General features: G+C 48.0%; 1 annotated feature.

Moving 5' to 3' along the window:
• Positions 1 to 295: an enhancer, noted in NCBI's record as "tiled region #2012; HepG2 Activating DNase matched - State 1:Tss, and K562 Activating non-DNase unmatched - State 7:EnhWF". NCBI's record gives its function as "activates a minimal TATA promoter and a strong SV40 promoter by Sharpr-MPRA in HepG2 and K562 cells {active_cell/tissue: HepG2 | K562}" and the evidence as "EXISTENCE:reporter gene assay evidence [ECO:0000049][PMID:27701403]".

Here is a 10675-nt window from a genome sequence, read left to right as displayed (position 1 = left end):
GGAGATCAGCTCCCCCAGCTGCACGGACAGCTTCCCTTCTTTGGGCCACATGGCTATCAGAAGGAGGGGCCCCGAATTTGAACTTACTTTTTAGGTTCAGCAGCTCCACTAGGTCTTAGTCACTTCCGTGTCCGGGGATTTTCCAGGAGGAAGAAGCCCTTTGACTCCATGGGGAAATGGCGGTAACTCATCCTCTTCCTGGTTCACCCTGTACCCGGGACAAACCATGTAGGAGAACAGAGTGGGAAACAGAAAATGGGCTGCCACGGTGTGACCTTGGGGAGCCATTGAGCTCTTCTTTTTCTTTTTTTTTTTTTTTGAGACAGAGTCTTGCTTTGTCGCCCCGGCTGGAGTGCAGTGGCGCCATCTCAGCTCACTGCAACCTCCACTTCCCGGGTTCAAGCAATTCTCTGCCTCAGCCTCCTGAGTAGCTGGGATTACAGGCACTCACCACCATGCCCAGCTAATTTTTGTATTTTCAGTACAGATGGGGTTTCACCATCTTGGCCAGAGTGGTCTCAAACTCCTGACATCAGGTGATCCGCCCGCCTCGGCCTCACCTCCCAAAGTGCTGGGATTACACCGTGTCTAGCCAAGGCCAAGGTCTTTTTTTTTTTTTTTTTTTTTTTTGAGACGGAGTCTCGCTCTGTCACCCAGGCTGGAGCGATCTCAGCTCACTGCAAGCTCCGCCTCCCGGGTTCACGCCATTCTCCTGCCTCAGCCTCCCAAGTAGCTGGGACTACAGGCACCTGCCACCGTGCCCAGCTAATTTTTTTTTATTTTTAGTAGAGATGGGGTTTCACCATGTTGGCCAGGCTGGTCTCGATCTCCTGACCTCTTGATCCGCCCACCTCGGCCTCCCAAAGTGCTGGGATTACAGGCATGAGCCTTTTTTTTTTTTTTCTGAGATGGAGTCTCTCTCTGTTGCCCAGACTGGAGTGCAGTGGTGTTATCTCAGCTCACTGCAGCCTCCACTTCCTGAGTTCAAGTGATTCTCCTGCCTCAGCCTCCCAAGTAGCTGGGATTACAGGCACGTACCACCACGCCTGGCTAATTTTTGTAGAGATGGGGTTTCATTATGTCGGCCAGGCTGGTCTTGAACTCCTGACCTCAGGTGATCCTCCCACCTCAGCCTCCCAAAATACTAGGATTACAGGCATGAGCCACTGCGCCCAGTGTATTGAGCTCTTTGGGTTCCTGTGGGTGACAGGAGAGGACCACAAGCATCTTTACCCTCGCTGCCCCCCAGCATGTTAGAGACCTGAGTCAGTGGCAGGCACTACAGAGCACTGAAGAAATCCCTTCTGTTCCCAGATATTTGTAAATAACTCAGCGGGCAGGAGGGGGAAAGGAGGGAGAAAGATGAGGCTCTGGCCCAAGGGCAGATGGAATTATCTGAAGATGGAGAAAGGGAGGCGGGGAGCAGACAGACACAGGCCTTTCATTCTGACCCTTGCCAGGCATGAAGTGCCTGATTGTGCTTGTGTCCAGAGGGCTCAGTGGGGCCTGGAGGTCAGAGGGAGAAGGGATTGCCTGCTCCATCCCCCAGGTCCCTCGGGAACAAGCTCTCCACACAATTCTGCTGCCGTCTGGTGGGGGTCAGACAGAAAGGGATTCTTTTTTTTTTTTTTTTTTTTGAGATGGAGTCTCGCTCTGTCACCAAGGCTGGAGTACAGTGGCGCAGTCTTGGCTCAATGCAACCTCTGCCTCCCGGGTTCAAGCAATTCTTGTGCCTCAGCCTCCCGAGTAGCTGGGATTACAGGCGTGCCACCACGCTGGCTAATTTTTGTGTGTGTGGGTATATATATATATATATAGTTTTTTTTTTTTTGTAGAGATGGGGATTTACCATGTTGTTCAGGCTGGTTTTGAACTCCTGACCTCAAATGATCCACCTGCCTGGGCCTCCCAAAGTGCTGGGATTATAGGTGTGAGCCACCACGCTCACCCAGAAAGGGCTTCTTAGCAACAGAGGGGGCATGGCCCCAGGTCCCACTCTCCCCACCCCTTGCTGAGTTTCAGGGCCTGGAGGTTTATCTGTGCAGAATTTCTGGAGTCAGCCCTGGTTGGGGCAGGAGCAGACGAAGGGGGTGTGAGTGGGAGGATGTATGTGATTATCTCTCAGCCTGCAAAGGGGACCTCCTCCTACCTCAGACAGTTCCACATTTGCTCCCAGCTGCTCCTCCCCCAGGTGCCAAGTTGGGAAGTTCTTCCCGGCGTCTAGCTTCAGCTCTTTCCACTGCCACTGCAGTGCGATTACTCTCTGTTCTGCTATTTGGGGGCCGGAGGGGAGGCAGTTAGGGATCTTCACGTCCTGGGGTTTGTGCCTGATGTGGAAGCCAGGAGTTCAGTCTCCCTCTCCTGTTCGTTCTCTGCCCACATCCATACAGCAATGAGCCCCTATGTAAAGGGATGCCCTCCTGCCGGCACCCCACCATCCACCAGTGACAAGGAGTTAGGAAGCTTAAAGGGCCTCCAAACCGCCGACACCACCAAACCCTGCACCGAAGTACAGGCATTTTATAAGAGGGTGCCCTCTGCTCCTCACAATTCCCTCCATCTAGGTCAGTGGTTTGCGAACGCCTTTCGGGACTTTTTGTACACTTGGGACTTTTTGTTCAAAGATATCATGCAGAAGCAGAGAGAAACAAAACCAAGAACAGCCAAGCTGCTGTGGGGCCACTGAGGGCTGGGGCAGGGCGACCTGCCGCCTCCACTCCTCCAGCCTCCCGGAAGCTCCTCCTCCTCCTCCTACCCCACTACATCCTACGGGGGCTTCTGAGAGGGCCCTGGGGATTCCCAGTGCTTGGCGGGGCACAGTTAGAAAAACACTGATCTGCAAAACTAAGTTCCTTAACTCCTCGAAGCTGCCAATTAAAGGGAATGGGGGCCAGAGTCGATAAGAATATAACGAGCAGTCCCACAGGGCCAATTGGATGACAGGGAAAGAGGAGGTAGAGAGATGCTGAAGAGCAGAAAGAGCAGACTGCAGACCTGACAGGCTCTGCAGGCTGGGGCCATTCCATCTGGGGGCAACGTTGATTGGTCCTCAAGAATCTCCGGGATCTGGATGGAATTATAGCGCATGCTGTGGTTGCGGGGCAGGTCTGGGCTTCAAGGAAAAGAATTACATGATAAATTTGAGAAGAGCACCTTCCATAGTGGTTAAAATACAAAAATATGGAACAACGTGCATCCTTGAAGGCAAGTCCTCAGCCCGCTGGGTCTGTATGAAAAGCTCATAGCCTTAGGGTCTTGAGCAGTGGTTCTTAACTGGGGGGATTTTGCCCTCCCTCCCCACATTTGGCAATGTCTGGGAACATTTTTGGTTGTCACAACTCAGGAGTTGCTAATGGTATCTAATGGGTAGAGCTCAGGGACGCTGCTAAGTATCTTACGATGCTCCGGAAAACCCCCTTCAACAAAGAATTACCCAGCTCCAAATATCAATAGCACTGAGGTTGAGAAAGCCTGGTCTAGACTCTAGACAATACTGGAGTCTTTACTGTATTTATTTATTTCCCCGAGTAGAGGGTATGTTCCTAAAAGTTAGAAATAATGACTTTCCTGCTTGTCTACTGCATCTGCCTGAGCACCTTATGCTCAGCAGGTGCTTTACAAGTATTTGTCAGACAAATGTGAGAATAAAGAACCCACCTTGACATGGTCAGCAGCACTCCCCTTTCTATCCAGAGCTGGGTTTGGCAGAGGCACATGCTACATCTCAAGTTTAGTTAATAGGTCTTGCAAGGGATCCTGACCCCAGGCAACCCTGGGAGAAAGCTGGGGAGGGCCCTCCCAAAAGTGCCTGAGCTATTGACTCAAAAATACCAGATGCTCATTTCTGATGCAATTTACATCTCATATGCATACTGCTTTGAATATGATTTGCAAGCTGCTCCTTTAAAGTCAAAAGACACATGGCCGGGCATGGTAGCCCATGCCTGTAAACCCAGCATTTTGGGAAGCTGGGGCAGGTGGATCACCTGAGGCCAAGTGTTTGAGTCCAGCCTGGGCAACATGGCAAAACTCCATCTCTATTAAAAATACAAAAATTAGCCAGGGGTGGTGGCAGGCGCCTGTCATCCCAGCTACTCGGGAGGCTGAAGCAGGAGAGTCGCTTAAACCCAGGAGGCGGAGGTTGCAGTGAGCCAAGATTGCACTATTGCACTCCAGCCTGGGCAACAAGAACAAGACTCCGTCTCAAAAAAAAAAAAAAAAAAAAAGGCCCAGCGTGGTGGCACGCACCTGTAGTCCCAGCTACTCTGGAGGCTGAGGCATGAGAATTGCTTGAACCCGGGATGCAGAGGTTGCAATGAACCAAGATTGTGTCACTGCACTCTAGCCTGGGCGACAGAGCAAGACTCTGTCGAAAAAAAAGAAAAAAAAAAAAAGAAGAAGAAAGACACAGTCTTCTGGCCTTGTCTTGCTTTTTTCTACTTCTATAGGGACCTCTGTCTGTCCCCACCCCTCTTTCTTGGCTCACTCTCTGGTGAACACCCATCTGTTGGGCCCACATTCACTTAGGTTCCCCAGAGCCTGGCACAAAAAACTTAGGAAATCCGTGGATGGTGAGTTGCAGAAAAACAGGCAGGCCCCTTGAATTCCAGCTGCCCTCTGTGGTCACGATCACGGTTTTTGGTGCCCCACATGGCTGAGTTTCAACCCAGCTTCTGCCATTCCACAAACAGTATGATCTTTTTTTTTTTTGAGACGTAGTCTCGCTGTCACCCAGGCTGGAGTGCAGTGGCACGATCTCGGCTCACTGCAAGCTCCGCCTTCCGGGTTCACGCCATTCTCCTGCCTCAGCCTCCTGAGTAGCTGGGACTACAGGCGCCTGCCACCACGCCCGGCTAATCTTTTGTATTTTTTTTAGTAGAGATGGGGTCTCACCGTGTTAGCCAGGATGGTCTCGATCTCCTGACCTCGTGATCCACCCACCTTGGCTTCCCAAAGCGCTGGGATTACAGGCATGAGCCACCGCACCCAGCCACAAACGGTATGATCTTGAGCTAGTGAGTTAATCTCTTTGTCCCTCAGTCCCCTCATCTGTGAAAGAGGGATAATAATATTTACTTCATGGAATTCCTGTGATGATTCAATAAGAAAATCTATTAAAATGGCAGGTTTTTGGTAATTTGGTAGGCGCTCAAGGAGTGGTAACTGATGTGCTTATTATTATTATTATTATTATTATTATTATTATTATTATTATTTTGAGACAGAGTCTCACTCTGTCTCCCAGACTGGAGTGTGGTGGCTCCAATATCTGACTAATCCTGAAACAGAAGACAGAGATGAAGAGAGCAGGAAACTGACTTTTAATTTAAAAAAAATTTTTTTTTAAAGACAGGGTCTTTCTCCCAGGCAGGAGTATAGTGGTGTGATCATGGGTCACCACACAGCCTGGAACTGCTGGGCTCAAGTGATCCTCCTGCCTCAGCCTCCCCAGTAGTTGGGACTATAGGCACATGCCACCGCCACATCCAGCTGATGTTTTAAATTATTTATTTTTGTAGTGACAGGATCTTGATGTGTTGTCCAGGCTGGTCTTGAACTCCTGGCCCCAAGTGATCCTTCTACCTTGGCCTCCCAAATTGCTTGGATTACAGGAGTGAGCTACAGTACCCAGTTGGAAATTGACAATCAATTTTTTAAAAATTTCACATCCAACCTGAGCAACTTGGTGAAACTCCATCTCTATCAAAAAATACAAAAATTAGTTGGGTGTGGTGGCTCACGTGCCTGTAGTCCCACACGCTTGGGAGGCTGAGGTGGGCAGATTGCTTGAGCCTGAGAGGTCAGGAAGTTAAGGATGCAGTGAGCTGAGATCGCACTACTGCACTCCAGCCTGGGCAGCAGAGCATGACTCTGTCTAAAAAAAAAAAAAAAAAAAAAAAAAAAAGATTCACAGAATTGTAGGACATGAATCTCCAAAATGAATGAGCTGAGCTTCTGCTTCTGTGTAAGATGGAGTAACAGGTAATTGATTTATCTTCCCACTAGAAACAACTAAAAAAACCAGACAGAATATTCAGAACAATGGGGTTCAGATACTGGACATCAGGCAGCACAGCCCAGTGATCCCTGACAGAAGAGAAACAAAGCTCCTACAATTTTTCAAACCTATTACCTGGAGTGAGTTTCCAGCCACAGTACAGAGCAGAGTAAGTCAGTCAGAGTCTGATGGTCTACCTGAGTTGAGGAGGTTAAGTTGGGAGACAAGAGAGGCCCAGAAGTTCACTGGGTAAGGTATTAGAAAAGAGTTCTGCACAGAGGGCTAGGCGCGGTGGCTCACACCTGCAATCCCAGACTTTGGGAGGCCGAGGCGGGTGGATCACCTGAGGTCAGGAGTTCGAGAACAACCTGGCCTATGTGGTGAAACCCCGTCTCTACTAAAACTACAAAAAATTAGCCGGGCATGGTGGCAGTTGCCTGTAATCCCAGCTACTCGAGAGGCTGAGGCAGGAGAGTCGCTTGAACCTGGGAGGTGGAGGTTTTGGTGAGCCGAGATCGTGCCATTGCACTCCAGCCTGGGCAACAAGAGTGAAACCCTGTCTTAAAAAAAAAAAAAAAAGTGCCAGACAGAGGAAGAGAATCCTGAAAATTTGCAGGGGATCCCACTTGAGTCTTCAGCCGAGTACTAATCAGTGCATGTGTGTGAGGAAACCACCTGAGGCCAGGTCAAGACCATCCAACGGAGGAGAGAGAATGATTCCGAGACTCACACAAGGCTGGGAATTGGTTATGGTCCTGCTAGCAGAGAGACAAAACATTATAACTAACAGGGCATCAGATAGTACTCAGAAGGGTATTGACTCAGTAATGGGGCAAAATTAGCCCTAGACTAAAGTCTGTTCTAGTCCCGCCTAACAAAGCTTAAAAATTAGCCTCAAAGGGACCAAACTTTTGTGAAGTAGCTTCGCTTCATCCCAGAACAAAACTCAAGAATTGTTATTAGAAAATAAATCTAGGCCACACATGGTGGCTCACACCTGTAATTCCAGCACTTCATGGGGCCGAGGTGGGCGGATCACAAGGTCAGGAATTTGAGACCATCATGTTGATGAAACCCCATCTCGACTAAAAACACAAAAAATTAGCCCGGCATGGTGGCAGGCACCTGTAATTCCAGCTGCTCAGGAGGCTGAGGCAGGAGAATCACTTGAACCCGGGAGGCAGAGGTTGCAGTGAGCTGAGACCACGCCACTGCACTCTAGCCTGGGCAACACAGCAAGACTCCGTCTCAAAATAAATAAATAATCAATCAATCAATCAATCAATCTAGGCAAGGCACAGTGGTTCACACCTGTAATCCCAGCACTTGGGGGGGCTGAGGCAGGTGGATCACTTGAGCTTAGGAGTTCAAGACCAGCCTGGCAAATATGGCGAAACCCCATCTCTACTAAAAATACAAAAATTAGCCAGGCATGGTGGCGCATGCCTGTAATTCCAACTACTCAGGAGGCTGAGGAAGGAGGATCACTTGAACCCAGGAGGCAGAGGTAGCAGTGAGCTGAGATCGAGCCACTGTACTCCAGCCTAGGGGACAGAGTGAAACTGTGTCTCAAAAAAAAAAAAAAAAAAAAAAAACAGCCAGCTACGGTCGCTCACACCTGTAATCCCAGCACTCTGGGAGGTCACAGTGGGCAGATCACCTGAGGTCAGGAGTTTGAAATCAGCCTGGCCAACACGGTGAAACCCTGTGTCTATTAAAAATACAAAAATTAGCTGGGCATGGTGGTAGGCGCCTATAATCCCAGCTACTCGGGAGGCTGAGGCGCGAGAGTCACTTGAACCCTGAAGGCGGAGTTTGTAGAGAGCAGAGATCGTGCCACTGCACTCCAGCCTGGGTGACACAGCAAGACTCTGTCTCGAAAAACAAAACAAAACCAAACAAAAAAACAGCAAGATGGTGGATTTTAAATAAACAGTTTAATGATACTGAATAAATTTATACAGTTGTGCAACCAAGATGGTAGATTTAAACTCAATCAGATCAACAATTAAAATAGATATACATAAACTAAACAACCCAATTAAAAGGCAGATGAAAAAGCAACACCCATCTATATGCTATCTACAAGAGACCCGCTTTAAAAATAAAGACACAAGGCCGGGCACGGTGTCTCATGCCTGAAATCCCAGTAGTTTGGGAGGCTGAGGCAGGCAGATTGCTTGAGCCCAGGAGTTCAAGACCAGCCTGGGCAACATGGTGAAAACCCATCTCTACTAAAAATACAAAAAAATCAGCCGGGAGTGGTGGCATGTTCTGATAGTGCCAGCTACTCAGGAAACTGAGTATTGGAATTTGAGGTTGCAGTGAGCCAAGATCATTCCACTGAACTCTAGCTTGGGTGATGGGCGTGAGACCCTAGCTCAAAAAAAAAAAAAAAGAAAGAAAGAAAGAAAAAAAAAGAAAAAAGGCACAAATAGGTAGAAAGTACAAGAATATACTAACATTAATCAAAAGAATGCTGGAGGCCGGGCCGCGATGGCTCACGCCTGTAATCCCAGCACTTTGGGAGGCCAAGGCAGGTGGATGACCTGAGGTCGGGAGTTCGAGACCAGTCTGACTAACATGGAGAAACCCCGTCTCTACTAAAAATACAAAATTAGCCGGGCATGGTGGCACATGCCTGTAATCCCAGTTACTCAGGAGGCAGAGGCAGGAGAATCGCTTGAACTCGGGAGGTGGAGGTTGCAGTGAGCTGAGATCAGGCCGTTGCACTCCAGCCTGGGCAACAAGAGTGAAACTCTGTCTCAAAAAAAAAAAAAAAGGAATGCTGGAGTGGCTATGTTAATAGAGGATAGGCCATGCCAAAATGAATTTAAAGGACTCTTATCTTGTTTAGGTATAACATGCATAAGCAAAGGACACAAATCTTATGTAATAGCTTAATAAATTTTCCCATAGGTATATGATATAACCATTCCCAGATTCACAATGCAGAACATTTTTTTTCTTCTTTTTTGAGACAGGGTCTTGCTCTGTCACCCAGGCTGGAGTGCAGTGGCGTGATCTTGGCTCATTGCAACCTCTGCCTCCTGGGTTCAAGCAATTCTCCTGCCTCAGCCTCCTGAGTAGCTGGGATTACAGGTGTGCACCACCACACCCAGCTAATTTTTTGTATTTTTAGTAGAGATGGGGTTTTGCGATGTTGGCCAGGCTGGTCTTGAACTCCTAACCTCAGTTGATTCTCTCACCTCAGCCTCCCAAAGTGTTGGGATTACAGGCGTGAGTGTACCTGACCTAATGTTTGTATTTTTAGTAGAGATGGGGTATTGCCATGTTGGCCAGGCTTGTCTCGAACTCCTAGGCTCAAGTTATCCACCAGCCTCGGCCTCACAAAATGCTGGGATCATAGGCGTGAGACACCCCACCCAGCACAGAACATTTTCCATCTCCAGAAGGCACCCCCATCCCAAACCTGTCCCTACAGGTGACTGTTTCTGTCTTCTATTAACATAGGGTTTTGTTGTTATGTCTCGCTCTGTAGCCCAGGCTGGAGTGCAGTGTCATGATCTTGGCTCACTGCAATCTCTACCTCCTGGGTTCAGGTGATTCTCCTGCCTTAGCCTCCCAAGTAACTGGAATTACAGGCACGTGCCACCATGCCTGGCCAAGTTCTGTATTTTTAGTAGGGACGAGATTTCACCATGTTGGCCAGGCTGGCCTCAGCCTCCAACGTGCTGGGATTACAGGTGTGAGCCACTGCACCTGGCCCACTATAGTTTTGTTTTTCTTGTTTGTGGGTTTTCTTTCTTTTTTTTTTTTGCCTGTTATTGAACTTCATAGAAATGGAATTATTATATAGTACATACTCTTTTATATCTGGTTTCTTTCACTCAACAATTATGTCTGTAAGATTCATCCATATTGTTGAATGTATTATTATTATTTTGAGACAAGGTCTCACTCTGTTGCCCAGGTTGGAGTGCAGTGGTGATGGCAGCTCACTGCAGGCTCAACCTCCCATGCTCAAGCAATCCTCCCACCTCAGCTGCCTGAGTAGCTGGGACTAGCTAATTTATGTATTTTTTTTTAGGTACAGACCATGTTGCAGTTTTGTCATGTTGCCCAGGCTGCTCTCGAACTCCTGGACTCAAGTGATTGCCCCACCTCAGCCTCCAGAGTAGCTGGAACCATAGGCATGTGCCACCCATGCCCAGTCAATTTTATTTTATTTTTTTTGGTAGTGATGGCTTCACACTATATTGTCCAGGCTTGTCTCCAACTCCTGGGCTCAAGCAAACCTCCCGCCTCTGCCTCCTAAAGTGCTGGGATTGCAGGCATGAGCCACTGTGCCTGGACCATTTTCAATGCTGTATGGAATTCTGTTGTGTGACTATAACACAATTTACTTATCTATTGTACTATTGATGGACTTCAGGTTTGTTCTAGTTTTTGGCTATACATGATTTTTGCTGGAAATACACGTTTATGTTTCTTGTGTACTTACCTTAGAGTTGCTAGATAATAAGGTAAGCTTATTTTTATCTTTCACAGAAGTTGTCAAAGAGTTTTCCAGAAGAATGATACCAATTTACACTCGCACCATAAATTTTCAGTTTTTCAAATTTTAGCCATACTTGTCGATGTGCAGAATAGGTATCTCATTGCAGCTGTAATTTGCATTTTCCTGATGCCTGGTGATTTGAGTACTTACATATT

This window comes from Homo sapiens, chromosome 17, assembly GCF_000001405.40.
Source record: "Homo sapiens chromosome 17, GRCh38.p14 Primary Assembly".
Classification (NCBI taxonomy): domain Eukaryota; kingdom Metazoa; phylum Chordata; class Mammalia; order Primates; family Hominidae; genus Homo; species Homo sapiens.
Note: the sequence above shows the minus strand (reverse complement) of the source record. Positions and strands in the feature narration are given on the sequence as shown.